Source organism: Homo sapiens, chromosome 8 (genome assembly GCF_000001405.40).
Source record: "Homo sapiens chromosome 8, GRCh38.p14 Primary Assembly".
Taxonomy (NCBI): domain Eukaryota; kingdom Metazoa; phylum Chordata; class Mammalia; order Primates; family Hominidae; genus Homo; species Homo sapiens.
This window is the reverse complement of record NC_000008.11, coordinates 127,005,566-127,032,797: the sequence shown is the minus strand read 5'-3', so window position 1 is coordinate 127,032,797 and position 27,232 is coordinate 127,005,566. Positions and strand designations below refer to the sequence as shown.

Sequence of the window (27,232 nt, the reverse complement as noted above, 5' to 3'; positions counted from 1 at the left end):
GTGTAAGAGCTATGTCTAGACTCATTTTTCTGCACGCGAAGGTCCAATTGTTCTAGTACCATTTGTTGAAGAGACTATTTTTGTTCAGTTGTGTTGCCCTTGCTCATTTGTCAAAAATCAATTGACTACATTTATGTGGGTCTATTTATGAGCTTTCTGTTGATCCTTTTTTTTTTTTTTTGGCCAATACCACATTGTCTTGATCACTGTGGCTTCATAGTAAGTCTTGAACTCAAGTGATTTCAGTCCTCTTGCTCTATTCTTTCCCTTCGATATTGGGTTTGCTATTCTGAGTCGTTTGTTTTTTCATAGGAAGTTTCAAATTACTTTGTTGATATCCACAAAATAACTTCCTGGGATTTTGATTGGAATTGCATTAGAACAAGCTGGGACGCACTGACATCTTGACAATATTGAGTTCTCCTCTTCATGAACATGGATTATCTCTTCATTTATTTAGTTCTTCTTTGATACCTTTCATCAGAGTTTTTGCTCTTCATATAGACCTTATACATATTTTGATAGATTTATAGCTAAATATTTCATTTATTTTGATGCTAATGTAAACAGCAATATGTTTTTAATTTCAAATGTCTCTTGTTCATTACTGATATATAGGAAAGCCACTGGACCTTTGTATATTAACCTTGTATGCTACAACTTTGCTATAATTGCTTATTGGTTCCAGGAGTTATTTTGTCAATTCTTTTATATTTTCTATGTGTATGATCGTAAGAGGGTTTTTCAGAAATAGAGCAGCTTAACAATAATAACATTTTTTAATGGTAAAAGTAAAATGATGCATTACAGAAAACTTAGAACCTGGGGGAAAACTTAGTATTTACTGAGTACTTACTATGTGCCAGGAACTATATCAAGCACTTTATTGGTATCTTTTAATTAAATCCTGCTGACAACTTTTTGATTTAGGTGCTTTTGTTCTCATTTTATACATAGAAAAATGGATGTTCAGAGAGAACAACAAACATGCCTCAAGATACACAGCTAGTATGTGGTAGTGACAAGAATCTAGCACAAGCAGTCTGATTTCAGGTATGTACTTCTGACTACTGTACTATATCGACTCTTATCACCCATATTCTTATCACCCCGCCACACTCCAGAAATAACCAATAGTATTATGTTGTATTTCCTCCAAGCCTTTATCTCCTGTAAAAGAGATAAAGAAGAAAAAAGAACCTAACTTAAGGGTACATTAATAGCATTTTCAAAAGAAAACTAAAGAAAATGGTAACTATGTGATGTGTTGGATATGTTAGCCAGCTTGATTGTGATGATTATGTCATAATGGATATGTATATCGAAAAAATTAAGTTGCACATCTTCAAAATACATATGTATATAATTTTAATTTTGTCAATTATGCCTCAATAAAGTTGTAAAAAGTAGCATTTTCAGAGGCATAATACATTCATTCATTCATTTATGTAAAAATAGATTTTTGAGCATCAGCTTTATACCAGGCACTATTGTAGGAATAAAGCAAATAAAAAAAAATCCCTTCTCTAATGGATCTTGCCTTCTAATGGTTTCTCTTTAGTATATTACCTGCTGAAGTTCTTTTCACACCTCTCTGTATAAATTTGTTAGTGATTGGTCTAAAATTTACAAAATACTATCTTAATACATTAATGTATTAAGATTAATACATTAATACATTAATACATTAATGTATTATTCTAAATGTATCATAATACATTTAGAATTAATACTGTTTTAAGTCACATAAAATATAGAAAATGTGCAACCATATTGATCCATTTCTTTCTCTATCAGAATTGTCATATCTTTGTAAGGTCTCTATGTATTATAAACCCACAAGAAAATGTTAAAATTTTGATGTAAACAATCATACCCCTTTTAATAATAGATAAAATGTTATTTTATATTTACAGAGATATTTAGAATATCTGCTACTTTTCACTTGTTTCTGAAGATCTAAATTCCCTCCTAGTATCATTTTCTTTAGTGTGAAATACCTTCCTTATATCTGTGACAAAAATTTTTGACTGACAAAAATTTCTCAGTTTTTATCTAAAAATGTCTTCAAATAAGTTTTTTTGGAGGACACATTTACTGGATGTAGAATTCTACATTGACAGTTTTTTTGTTTTTGCTTTCAGTGCTTTATAAAGACATATTTCACTGTCTTTTAATTTCCATAGTTTCTGAGGAGAAGCCAGCTGTCATTATAAATTGTTGGCCCTCTATATGCAACATGTTCGTTTTCTCTGACTGCTTTCTAGATATTCTAGAAATATCTTTTCTCTTTGGTCAGCAATTCAGTTATAATATCCCTGTATTTTTTATTTGTATTTATCCTATTTGAGTTTACTGAACTTCATTAATTGATACATTTAATTCTTTCATGATATTGAGGAAGTTTTAGCCATTATAAAAATAAAATTTCTGTCCCGTTCTTCACCTTGACTCCAATTACGTATGTTAGACCATGTGGTATGTCCCACAAGTCCCTAAGAATCTGTTCTTTCATTAATTAAAAAATCTTTTTTCCTACTTTACTTAAGTTTGGATGTCTGCAGACCTATCTTTAAGTTCACTGATTTTTTTCTATTTCATCTTTGTAACTCCATCCAATAAAATTTTTAAATTATTATTTCTATAATTTTTAAATTTCTTTTTATGGTTTCTATTTCTTATTCTGACCAGATTATTCTTTATGTCACTGAGAACAGTAATAATAGCCACCTTAAAGTCCATTTATTGTTATTTCTAACATTGGAGTTATCTTGGATTTTACCTTCATTGATTGCCTTTTCTCTTGAAAATGTTACATTTTCCCAGTTATATATCAAATAATGTTGAGCCATGTTCTGAACTCTAAATTCTGTGGTATTCCTTCAAATATGTTAATGTTTTCGTTTGAACCGTAAATTAACTTAGTCGTACTAAAGCTACAAAGCCTGTTTCTTGAATGCAATGTTGTTTAGTGCTTTTATTTTAATCCGTGTTGTTTTGAGTCTGCCTCATACAAACATACTCAGCCACCAGCTAACATTTTTGACTCACTCTCTCTGCCTGTCTTGTTTCCAGAAATCCTTTACCTACTCACTTTCCAGTGGGTTTGGTTGCCCTGAACTGTGTCATATTGTCAGAAAGACTGTATATTTTCTGTTGAAGTGTTAGCTACACTATGTGGCACTGATTCACTCTTCTGCCATGCTAAAAACCATACATAGTGGCTAACTCACCCCATGTCATCCCTTTCTCCAGGTTTTTATAGCTCCTTTATAGGATCTGCCTGTTTTTGTGCACTCCCTGTTGATTTCAGGTTATTGTTTTGTAATTTTTTCAGTTCATACTTGTTTTCAGCAGGTATTCGTGTCCAGTAAGAACTGACTGGAAGCATAAGTTTTTGTTATGCTTTATGTATTTAATTTTGAAGAAATAAAAGTTTGTAGCCCAGATGGCTACCAAACTCATTTTGAAAAAATAAAGTGAACCATGAAATTTGAAGTGCTAGTTACTACTACTGATGTAGGCAAAGTTCTGATTCACACATTCGAAAAATTTTTCTACGGTTTGCTACGTGCTAAGGCACACATATGGTACAAATAAGTAAAATATGAACTCTGTAAACACAGAAAGCATACAATGAGTAAAAGGGATAATTTATATCACTAGTAATTTAAGTAGCACTAGGTCTGAGAACAGATATGAGGATGAGACTATCTGGGGAAACTGCTGCTGAGAAAAGACTACAGAAGATTTGTTTAGCCATTATAAATTTGTTTAAATTGTATAAATTTGTTGTCAACATCTATAAACACAGTAAACATAAAACAACTGATCCCTTTTCATTTATCTCATTCTTCATTTTACAAAGGGATCTCATTCTGGTCTCCATGGATGATCATCCAATACCAAGTTCTACTGATTAATTTCTCCAAACTAAGTCAGAGCCATCAAAGGGTGGTAAATAACTAGCATCTAAACCGATGTGTTTCTTAACAACAAGCTTATCTCAGGCAACCAACAAAACTGAAAAGATGACACTCCTTCAGCTTTTAGTTGTCTTTGTAGTTACCAAACATACTATTTTCTAGAGTAGAGTTAACAGCTGTCTCCAATACCAGCCATTTTTTTCTAGAACTTTCTTGAGGAATAATTTTGTCAAAAGTAAATGCAAATGCACACCGATTTTGAGGATGATCTGAGTTCTAAAGGAATGTCACCATCAATAACCATAACGAATCAAATCAACAAAAATAAATGTCACCCACTCCAGACTACTTCTTAAAAGCAAAGGTTGGAAAAGTAAGATGTCTCCAGCAAAGGTAGTATTTAATATATGGAAGAAATTATGTCCTCTGAGTTGAGTATATCATATTTAAAGGTTACTGCAGTCATTTGCATTAAGCAATATAACTAGCAAACCCAAGATCTTTTTCATGTGTTTGTATTTTAGTACCTGTCTTGTCCATCAAGAAACAGTAGTTAAGATGACTTGAAAAAGATGCATTAATGAACTAAACCAAATAGTCTGTTCCAATGAATTTGTGCGAAGGAAATCACAGCAAGGAAACAGTAAGGGCATAAAAGAGTCTATTGTAGCATTGTGTATAATAACAACTTGGATACAACCTGATGGTCCTATGTGGCCTGCAAATTATGGTATACTATGTAGTTTAATAGTAATAATCATGAAGAATGTGAAAATATGAGGAAATGTTTGCAACACAATGTTAAGAGAAAAATAGTATAACATATAATATTATGCGTACCAGGGTCACAAGTATGTAAAATGGGATTGAATGCAAAAGCTAAGATACAAATAAACAAGGATAATAGCGTTAAGATGATGAGAGGATGAGTGACTTCTTCCTGTGAATACCTAGTTATTTTATAAATCAGAGAAAGAGAAAGAGACAAAAAAATTCTGGAACCACTACTTCTGTATTGGGATGGAAAACACACTCATATGACTGTCTCAGAAATTAGAAAACTTAGTACAAACAACTAATTCTCTAACCACATGGTTGTGAATGTGCCATCTCAGTCCAAACCTCTAGTAACCTTGGAGGAAAGTGAACTCATTACAGCAATTGAGACTCTGTGCAATTCACTTGTTTCTGTCAAGTTGCATCCTCTCCGAAATACATTAGAGTTTGCTTACTGCCACATAGGGAGGGTTCTAAGATTAAACTCCTACATACTGGAGTAGTGAGAAATGGAACTGGAGTATCCCAAACAGACACTATTGTGTTTTTTTCTGTTTAACTTTTATTTTAGGTTTGGGGGTACATGTGAATGTTTGTTGCATAGGCAAACAAATGTGATGGGGAGGGGTTTGTTGTACATATTATTTCATCACTAAGATACTAAGCCCAGCACCCAGCAGTTATCTTTTCTGCTCCTTTCCCTGCTCCCACCCTCCATCCTCAAGTAGACCCCAATGTCTGTTTTTTTTATCCTTGTGTTCATGAGTTCTCATTATTTAGCTCCTACTATAAGTGAGACTATGCAGTATTTGGTTTTCTGTTCCTGGATTAGTTTGCTAAGGATAATAGCCTCCAATTCCATACATATTCCCTCAAAAGACACGATCTCACTATTTTTTGTGGCTGCATAGTATTCCAAGGTGTATATGTACCTCATTTTCTTTATCTAGTCTGTCATTTAGAACACTTAGGTTGATTCTATGTCATTGCTATTGTGAATAGTGCTGCAGTGAACATCTGTGTGCATGAAACAGACACCATTGTTATTTTCTTTTTTATGGTAAAACAAATGCTCATTTTTGATGTGACTTTCCTAGTGGATCCAGATATCTGGTGCCTGAGTGTCCTCAGTATAACAGGTTACTGATGTCACCCTGTCCTTTATTTCTTCAAACAACTTCACCTCAAGACTTGATATCCCATAAAGAAGGAAACTCAAAGTAATCTCCATCATAACCTTCTTCCAGCTCTTTCCAAGATCTTCAGAGGGAGATCTTGGAATTCATTTTCAGGAATTACACTTCTAATCACTTTTGTCCCATTTTCTCTGATTTATTTTCTCTCTCACCTAATTCAAATAGTGTCCCTTTTTGGTCCTGCAGAATTTACATGGTCCCTTCCTTCCAGCATATTTGACTGAAGTTTTGGGGCAGGAAACATTCTACAGGGCATCATAACAAACAACTCAATAATGGCTATTAGATACTTCAATTCCTGTATCCCTGGGTCATTCCAGCTCTTCGAAATTTGCTGCTGACTACCATTTCTCCTCAGTTCAAAGCTTCCAGCATATTACTAGACCTCTCTTTTTCTATCTTCTCTTACTTTTTACAATTCTCTTCTTTCTGGACCCCTTAAAACCACCTACTTAGACTGTCCCTGTAATTCAAAATTCTCAGATCAATTTTTATAGAACAATTTAATTTTTTAATGTATTACTCTTTTACCTATTAGACTATTTCCTGAGGTCTCTTAACTATGTAAATAGGCTGAGAATTTCTCAAATCATCAAGTTCTGGAGACCTTTTGATGAACATTTTCCCAAAATCTATCTCTTTCTTTTCATATTTTCTTATGGGTAACAAGTAAAAGCCAAGCTAATGCTTCAACATTTTGTTTGGAAGTTTCCTCAGATAAATATCAAGTTCATCATTTAAAACTTTTACTTCACAGATAATTTTGGGACGTAATTCCGGTATGCATTCTGCTAGTGCGTAACAAAGATCCCTTTTCTCCATTTTCCAATAACATTTCTGTCTGAACCCTCACCAACAGTGCCTTTAATATTCATATTTCTACCAACAGTCTACATATGACAATTTAGGTAGTCTATAAAATGACACATATATTTTTTACTGTGTCCTTCACTTTCTTCTGAGTCCTCATTAGCAGAATCGTTAACTCCATATTTCTACTAACAGTCTGTTCAAGAGAATCTAAGCTTTTTCTAACATGCTACTCAAAATTCTTCCAGCCCCTGCCCCTTGGCCAATTCCAAAGACACATTCACATTTTTAGTTATTTGTTACTGCAGCACCCCACTTCTAGCTATCAGAATCTGTACTAGGTTTCTAATGCTGTTATAACAAAAAGCAACTAAAAAGTCATTATCTTACATTTCTGGAGGTTAGAAATCTAAAACAGATCTCAGTGGGCTCACCATAAGGCAATTACAACATTGCAGTTTTTCTGGAGGCTCTAGGAGTCAATCCATTCCTTTGCCTTTTTCAGCTTCTGGAGGCTGCTCACCCTCCTTGGATTATGGTAGCCTTCTCTCTCCAAAGCCAGCAATGGCCAGTTGAGCCTTTCTCTTTTTTATTTTGTTTTATTTTATTTTATTATTATTATACTTTAAGTTTTAGGGTACATGTGCACAACGTGCAGGTTAGTTACATATGTATACATGTGCCATGCTGGTGTGCTGCACCCATTAACTCGTCATTTAGCATTAGGTATATCTCCTAAAGCTATCCCTCCCCCCTCCCCCCACCCCACCACAGTCCCCAGAGTGTGATGTTCCCCTTCCTGTGTCCTTGTGTTCTCATTGTTCAATTCCCACCTATGAGTGAGAATATGCGGTGTTTGGTTTTTTGTTCTTGTGATAGTTTACTGAGAATGATGATTTCCAATTTCATCCATGTCCCTACAAAGGACATGAATTCATCATTTTTTATGGCTGCATAGTATTCCATGGTGTATATGTGCCACATTTTCTCAATCCAGTCTATCATTGTTGGACATTTGGGTTGGTTCCAAGTCTTTGCTATTGTGAACACTGCTGTAATAAACATATGTGTGCATTTGTCTTTATAGCAGCATGATTTACAGTCCTTTGGGTATATACCCAGTAATGGGATGGCTGGGTCAAATGGTATTTCTAGTTCTAGATCCCTGAGGAATCGCCACACTGACTTCCACAAGGGCTGAACTAGTTTACAGTCCCACCATCAGTGCAAAAGTGTTCCTATTTCTCCACATCCTCTCCAGCACTGCTGTCTCACTCCAGCACTGACTCTTCTGTCCCCTCCCTTCACTTGTAAGGACTCTGTGATTACATTGAGCTCATTGAGATAATACAAGATAAGATCTCCCTTTCATGGGCAGCTGATGAGTTGGCAACTTTAGTTACATCTGCAACCATAATTCCCCCTTACCATGTAACATGACATATTCATGGTTTCTAAGAATTAGAATGTAGACCTCTGTGGGAAGCCATTATTCTGCCTACCACACTAACCTTTGCACAATTTCTAACAAATAGTAAATAATAATTGGTATCTGTTACTATTATTTGATAAATATAAATCGAGTACCTACATATACTAAGTAATGCATTAGAAATACAATAGAGAATTAGATATATATGTGTTTCTTGACTTCATGGAGTTTAGAGTCTAATTAAAAGATGTAGTCTCTTGAATATGCAATTTCAATATGATGAGGTAAGGTGTGTGGGAGCAAAACACTATGGAAACACAGAGGGAAGGTACCTGCTTTATGCAAGCCTACATAAGAAGAATTTCAAAAGGTAGAGATATTTATAACATACCTAAAGGATAAATTTGGAAAAAAAAAAAAAAAAAGAAAGAAAGGCTGGGCATGGTGGTTCACACTTGTAATCCCAGCACTCTGGGAGGCCAAGGAGGTGAATCACGAGGTCAAGAGATTGAGACCATCCTGGGCAACATGGTGAAACCCTGTCTCTACTAAAAATACAAAAATTAGCTGGGCGTGGTGGCGCACACCTGTAATACCAACTACTCAGTAGGCTGAGGCAGGAGAATTGCTTGAACGGGAGAGGCGGGGATTGCACCACTGCACTCCAGCCTGGTGACAGAGCGAGAGTCTGTGAAAAAAAAAAAAAAAAAAAAAGAGGGCAAGGTCTATGAAAGGTCAATAGGCCTGAAGGCAAGTCCACACTTGGCTAGATGGAGGACATAAAAAAAAAAAAAAATTAGGTTAAATAATAGCAAAAGGGTGCAGGAGTGATGAGGGAGAAGTAAGTTCAAGCCATATCAGCAAGAGCCTTTAAAGTGCATTTAATAGTTTAGACTTTATTCTGGAGGCAATGGGGAGCCCTTGAATGGGTTTGAATCTTTGAAGTGATGTGAACAATTTTCCACTTTGGAACTGTCACTTTAGCTATAAGATAGAAAACTCATTGCAAATTCTATCAACTGGGAAATAATAAAAATGTAACTATAAAATTCTATGTGTCAAAATTCAGAAATTTGTTCCTAAGTAACTCATACATAGAATTGAACAATAATAAAGATAAATATGCCAAAACTTGTTCAATGCAGCTAAAGTAGCATTTAGACAAAATTTTAGCCCCAAATGTTCATATTAGAAAAGAAAAGCAGTTGAAAATTAATAAGGTTAACATCTAATTTAAGACACTGGAAAAAATGGAAAAAGCTAAAGATGAACACAATAAAGGTTTATTGAACAAGGTGATGCTTCAAGGAAAGATATTTTCTCTGACTGCTAGGAGTATTTCTAGTTGACAGCATATAGCTGGCATCACCTTCCGAGATTGCCTAAGACACAGGCAGGTATCTCTTTCAAGGCCTTGCCCCTTCCTGAGGCAGCCCATACAGGGTGCACAGGCCCAGCCATTTTGGTCTGACACAGGAAAACTCTGATGGGTAACTTCAGCTCCAGAGCTCCCCATGGGTTGGTGGGGTCTCTCCTGAGGCCAGCACTGTTACTCAACATCTCCCTCTGCACAGTTCTGCTCCCTTCCTGCCCCTTCCACAGTTATGGTTCGCTAGGTACTCCCTAGGAAACACTTGGCACACTAAATTAGGAAATAAGTATACAATGGTGAGATTCAACAAAGCTAAAAGATGGTTCACACACACAAAACCTAATAAAATAAATAAATGCTTGACAAAATTGGTCAAAAATAAAAAGAGGAACGTAAGTGCAGTTATGGAATAGGTTAAAAATATAATGGGGATATTAAGAACAACTTTACATCAAGGAACATGAAAGTATAGAGAAAATAGAAAGATTCATATAAATATAAAGCTTACCAAGTCTGGCTTAATAAGTAATAGAAAACTTAATCTTTCCTATAAACATTAAAGAAATCAAACCGGTAGTTTAAAATCTCATTACAAAGAAAACTCTAGGTCAGATGGTTATCTGGATACGTTTTACCAAATATTAAAGGAACAAACAATTCCAATCTTAAATAAACTCTTCCAGAATATAGAAAAAAAGGGAACACTTCCAAATTCATTTTATGAGGCTTGAATAACCTTCATAAGAAAACCTGACAAAACGAAAAGAACTACGGAAAATTATAAGCCATATCACTCATGAACACAGATACACAAACCTAAGCAAAATATCAGCCTACCTACTCCAGTAGTAAATAAAGATGAGAATATGTCATCACCAAATAGGGTTTTTATTCCCCCAAGTTTATTAAGACTGGTTTACCATTAGAAAATTAACCTAAGTAATTTACTATATTAACACTTTTTTAAAATCTTATGATTATTCTCAATAAATGAATAATTATTTGATAAGTTTTAATATCCATTCATGACAAACTCTCAACAAACTGCAAAAGAGAACTTCTATAACTTGATAAAGTGTATTCACCAAAAACCTAATGCAAACTTCAGATTAGGAGCTATTTCAATAATATCCATAAGATGCCTTACACCATTAGGTGTCTCACATTAGGATGGAGGCCTGTATTTGGGATAGTAGCAGATGTAAAAAAAACAGATATAGAGCAATTTATTATCACACATACATTTTGAGAAGTGTCTAGCCTTGGGCTTTGCACATAATAGATGTCTAAAACATGCTTACTGACTCCTAGACAAGAGAATTTTATAAGAGTTTGTCAACATTTCAGAGTGGTGTGGCCTGAAGAATCTAACAGCCCCCAAAGATTCTTGCTTGTAGTTGTCCTCTGGTCACAATCTGCTCTGAGTGTGGGCTGTACCAGTCATCACATCTTTCACATTCAGCTGCCAAAAGACCTTATTTGTTCAAAAACACAAACTAGAGTTTTTCACTATAAATTTGCTCTGGACAGTTACTTTGAGTGGTACTCATAATAATAGATTGCTTTCAACCATGTAAGTTTTCTTCCAGTGATGGGAAAACATTGGGAAAATATTTACCCTTAAAGGGCATGACAAGATAGAATAGAAAAAACACTAAATCAGTCCTGAAGATGCAGGGCTTTTAGTTCTGCTGGGTTGTTAATCAGCAGTGTGATCTTTGGTGTGATTCAAAATTGTAGGCCCTTATTGTCTATTGTGAAATGTACTACATGATCTACTCATTTATTCAACAAATTAAGAACTTATTTCCTGTTGGGTATTATGGTCCTGTGCATGTCATATAGATGTTGGGAAAGTCAACAGTAATAGGAGATACAAAAGTGTATTGTCAAATTTAATTTTCTCTAAAAAAGCTGAGGGGTTTGGGAAGGTGAGAATTCAACAACTACTAATTTTCTAAATAAGGCCCCATCGTCTCTTACATGCTTGCACAATGCCAGGCCCTTGGGGAGTATCGACAAGAATGAAGGATTCAAACTCAACACCAGAATCTTATGCTTTCTTTGCATTAAAGAATATGGGATGAAGGCCCCATCGTCTCTTACATGCTTGCACAATGCCAGGCCCTTGGGGAATATCGACAAGAATGAAGGATTCAAACTCAACACCAGAATCTTATGCTTTCTTTGCAATAAAGAATATGGGATGAATCCTAGGTTGTTGCAAAGGTAATTGCGGTTTCAGACCTTGAATTTTAAATCATCATAACTAGGCTCAAACACACATTTATTCATCAAAATAGGAACCATTACAATCAACACATTTTTGCCAATGAGAAATAAGTTAGTTTATTCCTGTAGCATAAAAATCTGTGCGTCAGGATTCGACAAACTCTTGGAAAGCGTGTTCTGCATCCTGCTGGTTGTGGAAGTGTTTTCCCTGCAAAAAGTTGTTGAGATACTTGAAGAAGTGGTAGTTAGTTGGCAAGACGTCAGGTGAATATGGCGGATGAGGAAAAACTATGTAGCCCAATTTGTTCAACTTTTGAAGCGCTGCTTGCGCAAGGTGCAGTTGAGCGTTGTCGTGGAGAAGAATTGGACCCGTTATGTTGACCAATGCCAGCTGCAGATGCTGCAGTTTTTGGCGTAGCTCATTGATTTGTTGAGCATACTTCTCAGATGTAATGGTTTTGCCAGGATTCAGAGAGCAGCGGTGGATCAGACCAGCAGCAGACCACCAAACAGTGACCCTGACCTTTTTTTTGGTGCAAGTTTGGCTTTGGGAAGTGCTTTGGAGCTTCTTCTCAGTCCAGCCACTGAGCTGGTCATTGCTGGTTGCCATATATAAAATCCACTTGTCTTTTTTTTTTTTTTTTTTTTTTTTTGACGGAGTATCGCTCTGTCGCCCAGGCTGGAGTGCAGTGGCACGGTCTCGGCTCACTGCAAGCTCCGCCTCCCAGGTTCATGCCATTCTCCTGCCTCAGCCTGTAGCTGGGACTACAGGCGCCAGCCACCACACCCGGCTAATTTTTTGTATTTTCAGTAGAGACGGGGTTTCACCGTGTTAGCCAGGACGGTCTTGATCTCCTGACCTCGTGATCTGCCCGCCTTGGCCTTCCAAAGTGCTGAGATTACAGGCGTGAGCCACCGCGCCCGGCCCCAAATCCACTTTTCATTGCACATCACAATCCGATTGCAAAATGGTTATTGTTGTTGCGTAGAATAAGAGAAGACAACACTTAAAAATGATTATTTTTTTGGATTTTTGCTGAGCTCACAAGGCACCCACTTATCAAGTTTTTCACCTTTCCAATTTGCTTCAAATGCGAAAAGACCACACAATGGTCAACATTGCGTTCTTTGACAACTTCTCGTGTAGTTGTAAGATGATCAGCTTCAATGATTCCTCTCAATTGGTCTTTGTCGACTTCCAATGGCTGGTCACTATGCTCCTCATCTTCAAGGCTCTAGTCTCCTTTGCAAAACTTCCTGAACAGTGACTGCACTGTACCTTCATTAGCAGTTCCTGGGCCAAAGGCGTTGGTGATGTTGCGGTTTGTCTCCGCTGCTTTATAACCCATTTTGAACTCGAAAAAGAAAATTGCTCTAATCTGCTTTTTGTCTGATATTATTTCCATGGTCTAAAATAAACATAAAATAAACAATAAGCAATAAGTCCTTATCAAAAAAATATAAATTGAGAAGTGTCCATTAAAATGATGTATAACATAACCACATTTATATAAGAACGTATTCCAATATCAAATGGCAAAGTCCCACCATGCAAACACTGCAATTACTTTTGCACTCATGTAATATATGTATGACCTTGATCAAGTCATCCAACTACTTTGCTTTGGGTTCCTGAAGTAGATCCTGAAACAAAAACTTGAGCACAGGAATTTATTTCGAATTTGTTCTCAAATAAGGAAGGAACTGAGGAAAGTAAGACAGAAGGGAGAGAAAGCAATAAAGAGGGTCCGAATGAGCCATTGCCACTGTAGGGGTTCAATCCTTCTGGGGACCATTTGAGTCACCGTGTAAACCTCAGACTTTTCCTGCCAAGGGAGAGGCCAGCTAGGATATTTATCCCCTGTCTCTTTTCTCTCACTGTGTGAGAGCTACCCTTGGCAGTTTCCAGCTTCTGGTCTGATGGGTTGAGAAGCACTTGAAGTAAAAAGCTGTAAGCTTCAGGTGAACTCAGCAGCGAGCTTCGGGACATGGAGTGTGAAATTAACAGCATCTACTCTAGTAACCAATCACTGCCTGGATTTCCTGATCTATAAAAAAACTTATACCTTGCAGGACAGTTGTGGACATTAAAATTTTCTCATATTCATTTTTATTAAGAAGAAATGTTTACTCTAAATTCAGGGATGGGGCAGAGTGATGAAAGCATGCAGCAGCAGTATGATTCTCATAGCACATGAATCCTATGACCTGGGAAGCAGGAGTTATAAGCCTGCCTTGTCTTCAGAATCTCCTTTGAATAGGCTCCAAGAGAGGATTTTGATAAGGACATGATGAAAGAGGCCAAGTAATAAAGTTTGGGTTTATTGCAAATGTTTATTTAACTCAGACACTTCAAAAGCATTTTTTGGAGAAACAAGTTAGCTAAATCAACATCCCTGACCTATATCAGGATCCTCGCCTAGGGTACTGAATTTAGTTAGAGCATTTGCTAACCTAAGGCTCACATGGGAGGACACCTGTTTAAGAAAATTTGACAGTCTAATGCCAAGTTTCAAGGCTGCCTTTTCCTTGGTGTAGGAGGGGACACCTGAAGTAAAATTGGTGAAGGGCAGTTGTTCTCAAACTTGAGCATGCATTAGGGTGACCTGGAAGGCTTATTAAAATACAAATTTCTGGGTTCCACCCCCAGAGTTTCTGATTTAGTAGGTCTAGAATGCGGTCCAAGCATTGGCTTCTCTAACGAGTTCTCAGGTGATGCTGATGTCGCTTGTCCTGGGAACACATTTTGAGAACAAATGGTTTAGAAGAAGCTAGAGCCATACAAATGAATGGGAGAAGCCAAGGGTGGGAGTACTCTGCTGAGAAGTGCATTAGAAATATGGTCAGACCCAAATTCAGCGTCAGCCTCTTCTCTTAGGTCTTTGGAGAGCACTGCAAGTTCATCCTCCAAATGAACGTTTCTATTTACTTTTCGTCCAGAATTTTGACTTATTCCTACCCTAGCCCATAAATGCACTGCCTCCCTGGATTCCGACTAGACTTCTAGAAGAAGACTGAACTTGGAATCAAAAGGTGAACTTCACTAATAACTAGACTTTGCATGGAAGAAAGACAAAGACAAAGAAAAATAGAAAGAAAGAAGAGAAGGAGTGAAAAGGAAAAGACAGGGAGAAAATAACATTATGAATCCCCATTGTGTTCCAAGATCTATACTTTAAATTTTCACATACTTTAGAATGTTGAAGTCTCACAAATATTCAGCAACACATGTGTTATTATCTCCATCAGGAAACTGGAGCTTAAAGAGATTATGGAATTTGCCCAAGTAGGCAAGACTTATAAAATGCATAAGCAGGACTCGAACCTAAAAGTGTTTCATTGTAAGTCTATTGAAATTTCTACTGTTCTCTACCATCAGAAAAATTGTGTCACTCACTATAAAGGGATCATAAATGATTTGGAATTGGAAAGCAGAATCACATGGGCAAAACAGTGGTTGCCTCAAACATTCAACAATTTTCATATTTACAATCTCGTTGTCTCTATAACTCTTCTTTCTTACTCTCTGAACTTGGGGGTAAATCTAGGATCTCTTTCATAGCATTGTAGTAAAAATGAGGTGAGACTAGGTAATCTCTCTGCCTTTGTATTTGCTAATCTCATGATCTGGGAGTAAGACTCTATTCTAGGTAGAAGCAATTATATTGCACATACCCCAGGAATGGTAGTTCTGATTCAAGAAGAGATCCCTCAATACAGGGCTTCTCAGAATGCTGAGAATGGGTCCAGGGAGGTGAACGTGGGGCCACCAGCTTGACCAAAGTGGAAGCCTATGAGGCCATCACTTTTCTCTGAATGGGGCCATGACATAGCCTGACAGCTTGAGAATTGATGGTATTCAACCTGGAGAAATGTTTCAGTATCCTAGTAAAATTGGCCTGTCCAGTGAAAAAATGCTGGAGATTTCAAGGTGGTCAGTTCTCCTGTACAATTTTATAATTTCTACACAAATATTTCTAAATTTCTCCATTTAAGCCAGGGCATTGGCAATATTTGCTGTTATCAAATTTAGCTTGCAAAATGTAGAGTTCAAAAGAACAGTGCAAGAAGGAAATTCCAAGGACAGCTTTCACTGAGAGATGAGGATGATTCCTAGTGGTTGCGTTATCCAGATATGGGATGGTCTTGCCCAATTCCCCTTAAGTGGTATTAAATCTGACACTGGACATGCACTTTCAGGGCATATTATGAGGAAACAGGCAATGGGTCTGGGTAAGTGCATGTCTTTTCCACCTTCTAGTCTAGGCAGGCGTTTAAAACACTGGGATCTAGGATGAGTTATGAGTCAAGTAGAACATCCATCGTGACCATTTGGGATGCTTCAGCAACATCCTATTTGGTAAGCATGAGTCCAACATTATCCAGACTCTGAAAAGAGACTAGATTGAAACAAGAAAAGAGCTCTTTGAACTTGTAAGTAAACACAAACTGCAGAAGTATACCTTTCCAGTATCAAGCAGTTTTTCTAAGTACAAGCCACAACCAAATTTGAAAACTAAATCCTACATGATATTCAAATATGTGGTTCTTGACGTGGGCCAAAAGGGAAATTAAAAGGGCATAAAAGAGAATCCGAAGGTTGGGGATCAGCAGTGCTGTTTGTTTGAAGCTCATTTGCATAGAGAAAAAGATTTGACTACAAAGGCCCTCACACATGTAAACTAGAGCACCAATCTTATGAAAATCACATAATCTGATCTCACCCTGTTAATGTTTAAATCTGGACCCATCTTATTTATGTAAATTATCTAGAAGAAGATAATTTTCAATATTTTAATGCTTGAGTTCTTCTACTGAAGAAGTTCTACATAGAAAGAGCTTACTGCTTAAGGCTGTGTCTCCTCTCCCGTAGGAAGCATTCTGGAACAAAGTTTTGTCATCTGAGATTGTGTGTGTGTGTGTGTGTGCATGCATGTGTGGTGTGCATGTCTGTGCATGCACATGTATGGCAAAACTAGAGGAGGAAGTAAAATGCAGCCATATTAGAAGCTGAAGACCAAGAAGCCCAATGAGGCATCCCCAAACAGGTATAAAAAACAGATTGAGAAAGGGGTACAGGACCAAGAATCCAAAACCCAGGGAACAGGGAAGAAGGAAGAGGCTTCACAGTAGCCGTGCTTACTGTTGGGATTTGGAGGCAGGTGCACCAGCTCCCTGCCTATACCACTTACAAGTCATATTAACTGACATAAAGTACTCTCTCAGAACTTCTGCTTCCTTATTGGTAAAATAGTAAAAATAATACCTACATTATGGAGTTATTTTGAGATTGAACTGAGATAATATGTATACAATATTTGGGGCATTCCCTAGACCTAAGTGCCTAATTATTGTGGGCTAGTGTTATTGGGAGGAAACACAGAGACATTTGGGGCAAATGTCAACTAAATCCATTCTCTGAACTTTATGTGCCACTCAACATACATGGGATATCAGACTGCACAAAAAGGGTTGATATCAGCAGTATAATATCACTGTGAGGCTTAAATAAAATTAGATAAAATTATATGCACACACAAAATTATATATAATTGTCTGGTATGTATCATTCAGCAATTCATAGCTCTTATTTTTATTAAGAAAATCTCGTTCACCTATGTTTCTTCCTAAGATTAATTAATGCTAGAAAATGCTGTTGTCATGAATATGAAAGTCACCAAAGGGAAAATAATAAGTCAATAATAAACATGGGGAAAAGTCCAATATAAAAATATGAATTAAAACAATAACATTTTTTACATAATGTAACATGGGTATTTTTAGTTTAATGGTAAATCCTGATGATGCAGAGGATTCACTAAAGTAAGCTTGGTTATACATAACTGTTGGGAATGTAGATGAGAATGAGCCCCTTTAGAAAGTTATTTGGTAGTATATAATAAAAACCTTCAAGTGTTCAAAACCTCTACTCAATAATTCCTTTTCTTAAAGACCAACCTATGGAAATAATTTAAAACACAAGGGAAAATGTATGCCTGTGCTTCCCTGTAGTATTTTTTCCAAGACAAACATTGGGAAAACCTTAAATAGTTAATAGAGGAGGGATGTTTGCTTATGTAACTTCTACTTTGGAATATTTACTCAGTGAAATGTTATATAGCCATTAAAAATAATGCCAACACAGAGTTTAAAATAACGTATTAAAAGCTTACAATGTCATGCTAAGGATAAAAACAAGATATAAAATTGTTTAAACAGCAGACTCAGAGTATATAAAACAACTCATTAAAAACTGAGAGACAATATACTGATTTCATAATGATTATCTAAAGATGATTGTTAATTTTCTTTATGTTTCTCTGTATTGCAATTTTTAAAAATAATAATCATGCATTTTTAATAATAGTGATAAAAATCCAATGTCTTTAAACATTCCAGTTACCAAATTCTCTAGTATAGGACTCAGAAACTATAGCGCAGGAGTCAAATCCAACCTGGTACCTGCTTTTGTAAATAAAGTTTTACTAGAATTACAGCTGTTCTCATTCATTTATGTATTGTTTATGGCTGCTTTTTCACTAATATGGCATAGTCATGTCATTGTGATAGAGGATGTATGGACCACAAAACCCAAAATATTTGCTATCTGACTTTCTACGAATCTTAAAAGTGGATGCTATTTAAGCTCAGAAGACATTTCAACATCCTAGTAGAAAGTATCTGTCAAATGATAAAATAACTGGTGATTTTGAAATGGCTGGGCTTTTCTTCCCTATAATTTTATAACTTCTACACAGATAACTCCATATTTCTCCATTTAAGGCAGGGCACCAGCAATATTTGCTAATACTAATTTTAGCTGGGCTGTGGAATCAAAAGAAAAGTATAAGATGGGAGCTCCAAGGACAGCTTTCACTGCAGGATGACGATGATTCTTAGCTGTTAAATTACCCACACATGGACAGTCTTGTGCAGGCATCTTCTTACTCTTTGGGTGATATTAAATCTGATGCTGAACAATTAGAGGGCATATTATGCGGAAACAGGTAGTGGGACTGGGTAAGTGCTGAGTTCTTTCCACCTTGAAGTCTGGGCAGAGTGGCTGAAAAACTGGACATTGGGATGAGTTATGACTCAAGCGGAGAATATGTCATGACCATCTGGGATACCTAAGTTACTTAACTTGGGCCACATCCCCACTACTCCATGCTGCATCAACTATTTACAAACTACCAGGGACAGGGAACTCATCCTTTCTAAGGTACTTCATTCCACAACTGTTTATTTTTTTAAATTTATAAGTACCGAAGGGCTTACCTTATGTATCTGCGCACCCTTTGACCCTTGGCATTATCTTGGGAGGTTCCAATAGATTTCTCTTCTCACTTCTAGTGATTAAAGTCCAGTTAGGTTCCTTTGCGTCATCTCCTTTCTCCCTGTAGCTTGGCCTGTGGGGCCTGCACTGGCACTTAGAGGCACATGGGAAGAAAGATGTGAATGTTCCTTATCCATTGGTGTTTCTGCCTCTTCTCCACTGGTGTTCATGGCCTTATTAAGATGGGATCCAGATTCTGGCTCTCTGGGGTGCCTATGTCAGCTCTCCTTCAGGCCTTGCGGGGCTTCCACAAGTGCCAGTTAAGTGTGACTTAACTGTGGATCTCTTTAATTGCTCAGGTTCCTCAGTTGGCTATGCATCTTATATCCTTTGATGCTGTGGTCCTCCGGCTCCAGACCACCATAGGTAGCTCTTTGTACTCAAGAGAGGTTCCTTTCTTCATTATAATTTGACCTGTGGGAATTCATACATTCTTGTCTCACCAAATTGTAAGGGTACAGATGCTTTCTCTGCCTCCTTGCCACTTTCCTTTCCTTCCCATCTGCACAGGTAGGCACCGGCGTGGAGCAAGCTGCCTATGCAGATATCCAATATCCATGTGTGGTTCGGAGCCACTCCCTCCTCTTGGCTTCAGAAAAGTACAGAACAACTTCACTGGACATTCTATTGGTCCAACTCAAGACTATGACAAATTTGCTCTTCCTTCTACTTCCACTCAAAGTGTCTTTTTACATTGACTGATATGGGAAGTGACTAGGTGCCCGGGCTGATTGTCAGAAACAGCAGAACTGCTGAAGTGCTTTTGAATGAACACCCAAGGAAGATTTCTGTGATTATTTGTAGCTCTATATAGATGTTTAGGGCACTAATGATTTCTTATCTTCAGCTTTGGGGTCTACTCACAATTTTGGAGCAACAAGCAAAGCCCAACTCAAGAGTCTGTTACATTGTCATTGACCAGCCTGATCACAGTTAGCTAGAGTATGTTCTGTGAAGTCCAGTCCCAGGAAATGTTTCTGCAAGAATCTCCCTCATGGAAAACACTATGAATAAAAAAGTCTTTGACGAGTCCTACAGTTTATTTTCTTCATGTAAGAACTACCAGTGTGTCCTAGTTTACAGTGTATACAACTTTTTCCTTTATATATTGCTCTCATTCATTCGTTTATTCATTCAACCATCCAAAATATATTGAGTACTTGCTCTACTCGAGGTATGAATTCAGTACATCTATTGGAAAAGTTATTTGTAATCTTATTCATTCCTCACAACAACCCTTTGAAATGGATATAGCAGATAATTTACTATTCTCATATTACACATGAGGGATCTGAAGTTCAGAAATATCGAATAATCTTTCCAAGGTTATGCAACTATTGAGAAAGTAGAGAGGCCAGGCACAGTGGCTCATGCCTGTAATTCCAGCACTTTGGGAGGGTGAGGCAGGCAGATAATGAGGTCAAGAGATTGAGACCATCCTGGCCAACATGATGAAACCCCATTGCTACTAAAAATACAAAAATTAGCTGGGCATGGTGGTGCGCACCTGCAGTCCCAGCTACTCGGGAGGCTGAGGCAGGAGAATCGCTTGAACCTGGGAGGTGGAGGTTGCAGTGAGCTGAGATCATGCCACTGCACTCCAGCCTGGCAACCAAGCGAGACTCTGTCTCAAAAAAAAAAAAAAAAGAAAAGAAAAGAAAAGAAAGTAGAGACATCAGAAGAGGAGGGGAAGGAGCTGGAAATTAACTAGCATATTGTGAGATCCTAGACTTCATTACTACTCAAGAATGTTTAGGAACAAAGCAAATCTGAAAGGAAAGAAAGTATGGAGACAAATTCTGAATTCTTAAACAAATTTGACAGTATGATTGAATGCTGGGACAACATCAGATTTTTAATATAATTTTGAGGTACCATTCTGCATGTTGTGGTGAGACAATTGAGTAAACACTGGCTGAGTCTCGCATCAGAATTCTTTCTTTCTCTCTCTCTCTCTTTCTCTCTCTCCTCCACCCCCACCCCCCTTCTCTATGTGATTTTAAATGCCAGAAGACTCACCTTGGGACATTGGTTGAACTGATGGACAAACAAAGGAATGACAACAAATAGACTTGTTTAACTAGCCAAACAACAAAAATAGACTGACTATGAATAATAGGGAACCAGTTGGTGTCAGCTTATTCTGAACTTGGTGAGAAACTTTGTCAAGTTATCTACCAGTCGTACGAGAATTCCAGAAACTCTCTTTATTTGGAAGCATGAGTATTGGAACTGAGCAACAAGGGTTGAGTATGTTTGAAACTGGAAAATAAAGCTTCACACAGTACTTACTAAATATAACTTCCTGCCAGGCAGGTATGGGCTGCTTGCCACATTTTGATAGTTGTCAGGATCCAAAAACCATGAAGAAGGCCAATGTTTTGATAACTAAAAGTACTTTCAAGACAAGCAAATTTGCCTTATTTAGGGGGAGATGAGGTTAGAAGGAATTAGTTAATTATCTCTCACTCCTAAACTTTCCAAATTTTAAATATAAAAGCTCATCATTTACTTTTGCATAACTAGAAACAAAGCCAAGATAATAAAATTACCTCTTATATTCACAGCATACTTTCTCATAGAAAGACAACTTGGAAAATCCATTTACCAAGACAACTTAAAGGGAGGTAAATAGAAACAAAGGAAAGTCCCATTACATCAAATGACATTGACCAAACAATGCCTCTTAGAACTTCTATTCCTGTTTTCTGTTAAGTTTCTTTTGGACAGTAACATCCTTGAGGGCAAGCAAAAGGTCTGTCTTCTTCCTTGTTTTATTCCCAGTGCCTGGTGATGAATAAAGGAACTGCACATGAATAAAGGAACTCTCAAATTCCTGTTCCCTGGAGACCACAAAGAGGTAATTACTCACTCTGAAAGTAGCAAAATGGGTGGTGTGATTGAACTACTTACATGTACAGGGTTAACTATAAGTAAATCCTAGCTCTAAGTATGAATACAAAGGATTCTGCTTTTCTCCATCACTAATGTTTGGCTCTCTTCAGAGTGAAGGCAGGCAGGCTTTCTCAGAGGTTGGCAAATCTAAACAGTGGCAAAATTGTGAGGTTTGCTGTTTATTTTGGCTACATTTTTAACGTACTCCTTATGACCCAAGTACCTTTCTTTGGCGGCGGTGTTCTCCATCTCTCCAAGGTCTGAGAAATGCCCCACCTCACTAATTCTTGGAAAAATGGGTCCATTCAACTTCTCATTCCTTTAGAGCCTTATGGTTGGTTACAAGGGTGTCCCATAGGTATAGGAAATCATTAACATGACAGGAGACAATATCAGTAGAAAAAATGATCCAGACACATCAGGCTGAAATTTATCAAATGAAAAGGACCATAATGCCAAACATCTTGACTAAAAAATATTATAATTTGATCTCAATGCAGAAGATCAGGTTGGTTTGTAGATTATGTTTTTTAAGAAAATCTAGAAGGAGGAGAGGTAAAGTGAGTATGTGACCACAAGCTGAGCCTGGAGTATAGTGTAACTTATTAAATATATGCAAGGGGGAGTCCCCGAAAGAAACACTCAAAGACCTCCAAATAAATCAATGATCATAGCTAGGAACATCTCAAGGAGACATGCTATGCCACATCCTACGTCATTTAAATTCTCTAAGCCTCAGGATTTCCATCTGAAAAGCAGAAATTGAAAAACCAATGGTGCCTTGTCCTCAGTGATATCATGATGATTAAATAAGTCTAATTACAAGTTGTTCTGATTATTAGTATTATTTTAACATTAATAAATTCAAAGTTTCATTTATCTGGGAATACATTAAGGAGTATTAGAAGAATGAAGCTGGATATAGAAGTTCCAGTTTAATAAAATCATTTAGCAGAATATGTAAATTATAGATGTAAATGTATAATACAAGCTTAATGTACATCAAGCCAGTCTTTTTGGTTGATTAGGATTTCATCTGGCATTCAAGGTGCTTTGAATGGACCCCTATTTCTGCAACTTTGTTTTCAGCCATTTGCTGCCTATAGTTCATGTCCCAACAGCCACGATGCTTTTTGCCTTCAAGTCATTCCATCATCTGACCCCTCCATTCAAAATGTTTTTCTCTTATCCTTTTACCTGTTTATTTCTTCAAACCCACTACCCTCAAAGAGAAAACTACATATTTACTTACTTCATAGTTGATGACTCTGTATGTTTCAGGCATGGAGAGTCTGAAATAATTTTAACTACAGGTTTTAGGTTGCTTTGCTGAAGGAATGCTACAAAACAGAGTTTCGGGATCTTAGAACAATTAAGACATAACTTCTCACCAGTGTGTGGGGGCCTGTGGAAACTGACTCAACATTTCCTGCAGGGAAACAGCATATTATTTCAGGGAGAGCCGTGGATGTAAACCTTGAGAGTATATTTCAGCCAGAGATTTTGAAGCACTTTAGGAACATGAATACCCTTATTCTTCTTATTCATAAAACACACATCTATTGATGCTGATCATAATATCTCTTGTTAAGCATTCCTATATACCCACACTCGCTGATGCATTTTCTCAATGGAGTCTAGCCTCCCTTGTGGTCTCCATTCTTGGGCTGTAACTCAGTAACACTACCCTTTGGAGTGTGCTTTGGCCACCTTCAGGAACAGTGATTTCTCTGTTTAGATCAAGAGAGCATAATGAAACATTGTCTGCCACAATATCAAATGTGAAGTTTCCGCTAAACTAATTGCTGGGGAAAACATTTTGCCTTCATCAAGCAGGGCCTGAAGTCAGAAAAATCGAAATGGAAATGAGAGGTTGGCGAGGGTGGCCAGAGAATTTGAATGGACTAGGGGAAAGTTTTCCATAAACTGAAAAGCTTTGCCTGGGGGCTGAAATGAAGATAGTGTTTTGCTTGGTTCTACCATCTAGAAAGGAGAAGCTGACTAGGGCTAAAGAAAATTGAAGTCTAGACAAGACCACTCTTGCATTTACTAATCTTGATTCTGTTTACTCATTTGCCAAATTATGATAATTCTAACTGTTGTGTGTACCAACTCTTAAACACATTTTATATAAAGTTCAGGTGAGACACAGAAATAGATATGAAAATGTAATAAAGAATAAAGCAGTGATTTTCAAAGAAGTTGGTTTTGAAGTGCAATTGAATTCCCATCAGGAGCTTTGTGTTAAAACGTATGCACCATTTCCTCCTTCCTTGTCCCCCATCCTCGTATTGAAAATTAAAATGATTAATTTGAAGCTCTACATTCGAATATAGTGAGAAGACAGCACTACAACAACAACGCACCTACACAAGTTAACATTTACTGCATATTTTATATGTACTAAGTACTGTGCTAAATCATTTACATACATTTCATCACTTAATTCTCATCATATCCTTAGTGGTTGTATACCATTGTCCTCTTTTCACAAATGAATAAGCTGAGCAAATGAGGAAGTATGTTTAATTAACTATCTCTCTTATAAAGAACTACTCTCTATACTTCAACAAAGGAGGGAAAAAATCACATAATATACTTGAGATTTCATACTGGGCAATTACTCCAAGGGTAAAACTAAATATCTACCTCATGTTACTCTTCTCATCTGTCAATTAAAGAACACTGAGAATTTTGCTTTACCACAACTTCTTCTTAGGAGTGGATCTGACTTTAGCTAAATTCAGTGTTTAGAGAACTTAAGTTAATGCTTTAAAAGATACTGTAGTTATTTGGACTGGGAGCCTGTTGTCCCAGTCTTAATAGTCTACATCTATAGACCATGTGATCTTCAATGGATTATTTAACCTCCCCGAGCCTTTGGGATTTTTTTTTTTCTATAACATAATAAAAAGCTCAGATGAATGACCTCTAAGTTTTTATTTTTTTCTGTAATTAAAATTCTCTTTTAGGGAATTCATCTTCATGATCTAGATGTTAGGAACAATTCTGTCCCTCTTAAAGGATGATACTATAGTAGGATGGGGACCAGTAATAGCAAGGAGATTTCCAAGAATCTCCATCATGATCTTCCCAAGCAAGTGTTTTTCAGGTCTGCTTATATGTCAGTTGATCATAATAAAACAACCAAATAAGAATGATGGAATGTTTCAACAAGACAATAAAAGATGAAATAATATTAATTCCAGCACTAGAAAATCTCAAAGTCAAGGCAAGATAGTAATACTACAGTGATTAAGAGAATGGTCTTTGAAGACATTATTGCAGCTTGTAATTACATAACTACTTTTATGATAATTAAATTAATATATAATTAATATAGTCTCCCTAAGCTATAAATTTCACTTAGATAACAACTATAACTATTTTATGCATATATTTCCAGCAAGCATAAGTATAGTACCAAAGTGGACTTATGGATTTATCGGTATTTTAGTCCAATACTAAAGTACTGAACAAATGAATAATAGATTCAAATTTCAGTCTTCTTTCTTACCAGCTATATAAATCTCAACTTTAGTAATCTAATCTCTGCTATTTTTAAATTCATCTGTAAAATTAAAACAATAGTAGTGTCCACCTCTTTGGGATTTTTCAAAATAAAATAAGATAATACACCTAAGCTATGAAGAAAATGGTGGGTAGAATAAAAATAAGGTTGACATTGTATAATATTCATTACACCATTTTTTCCTTCAAGTTCTGAGCCAATTAAGAAATAGACAGCAGACCGGCCGGGCATGGTGGCTCAAGCCTGTAATCCCAGCACTTTGCGAGGCCAAGGCGGGCAGATCATAAGGTCAGGAGTTCAAGACCAGCCTGGCCAAGATTGTTAAACCCTATCTCTACTAAAAATACAAAAAAATTAGCCAGGAGTGGTGGCAGGAACCTGTAATCCCAGCTACTCAGGAAGTTGAGGAGAATTGCTTGAACCTGGGAGGCAGAGGTTGCAGTGAGCTGAGATGGTGCCACGGCACTCCAGCTTGGGCGACAGAGCAAGAATCCATCTCAAAAAAAAAAAAAAAAAAAAAGAAAGAAAGAAAAGAAATGGACCTTTGCTGGTAAATCTGGAACGGAGAACCCTGCTTAGGCCCCAAGACAAAATAGGCTGTCAGCTCCTTTCCTAGATTTGAGTGAACTAAAGACTGGTAAAGCCATTGATCAATAGCTGAGCTCTCTTACCATGTGACGCAGTTCACATCACGCAGTTGAAGAGAAACGTGTGCATCCCAAGAGGTGGCTGGATCTAAAAGAGATTGGAGAAGAGAGTTAGGCTGCATGTGCTCAGGGTTCCTTGGCTAATCTCTCTAATACCAGTGCCCCTTGGAGTAGAGTGAGTACATAGGGGAGAGAAAATTAAAGATTTTAGCATACTCTTAATATTTCCAAGAAGACAAAAGTTCTTATTTTATGGGCCTACTGAGAAACACTGAAAGGGAGAGAATGGAATCATCACTCTCAAATAATAACACCAACCTCATAGGAATGTCCTGAGGCTAATATGTGAAGTACAGATGCCTTTAAGCTTACAATGGGGTTACATCCCAATAAACGCATTGTAGGTTGAAAATAATGTTAAGTTGAAAATGCATTTAATACACCTAACCTACTGAACATCGTAGCTTAGCCTTGCTTGCCTTAAATGTACCCAGAGCACTCACAGTAGCCTACAGTTTGGCAAAATCATGTAACATGACACTTTTTTTATAATGAAGTGTTGAACTTCTTCTCATACTTTATTGAATACTATAATGAAAGTGAAAAGCAGAATGTTTGTATCAGTACTCAAAGTACAATTTCTATTGAGAATTCCTTTTGTATCACCCTAAAGTTTAATCCTCATAAGCCTGGGATTTCCTGCCTTGAAGTTCTTTTAACTGACCTCCAGCACTGCTCTCCAAGCCACTCTGAGTTCTACAATAATCTGATGCTGGTGTTTAGTGGGCCAGTTTCTAGTAATCCCTTACACTTCTATCCTTAGCAGTTAAATTTTACGTGTGCCAAGAATCAGTCATATTGACTCCCAAGCTCATTTATTCTACTGGAATTAACTGATTAATAAAAGGTTATGTAAACACATGAAATATGATTTTGATAAGTCAATATTTTGGAAGGGTTGATAAAAATAACGCTCCCAAAAGTGCTATTGCAACACTATTGTAATAGATTGGAGAGAACATAGACTCTTGAGGGGTTTTGTCTTTTGATTGCTGTTTATATTTTTTACATTTTCTT

General features: G+C 36.9%; 2 long non-coding RNA genes across 2 annotated transcripts in view; both read right to left on the bottom strand.

The window, feature by feature from the left end:
• Positions 1-11,766: 11,766 nt before the first annotated feature.
• The window catches only part of LOC105375751 (uncharacterized), a 463,156-nt gene continuing 447,690 nt past the window's right edge, over positions 11,767-27,232 (bottom strand). The window contains exons 5-6 of the long non-coding RNA NR_188069.1: positions 26,180-26,243; positions 11,767-13,154 (exon numbers count right to left, since the gene is read on the bottom strand). This is a non-coding gene — a long non-coding RNA (uncharacterized LOC105375751). The remainder of the gene's footprint in view (positions 13,155-26,179; positions 26,244-27,232) is intronic.
• On the bottom strand, positions 11,784-19,644 carry PCAT1 (prostate cancer associated transcript 1). Its single transcript, NR_045262.2, has 2 exons — positions 19,024-19,644; positions 11,784-13,154 (listed from the first exon to the last, which is right to left on the bottom strand). It is a non-coding gene; the product is annotated as a prostate cancer associated transcript 1 (long non-coding RNA).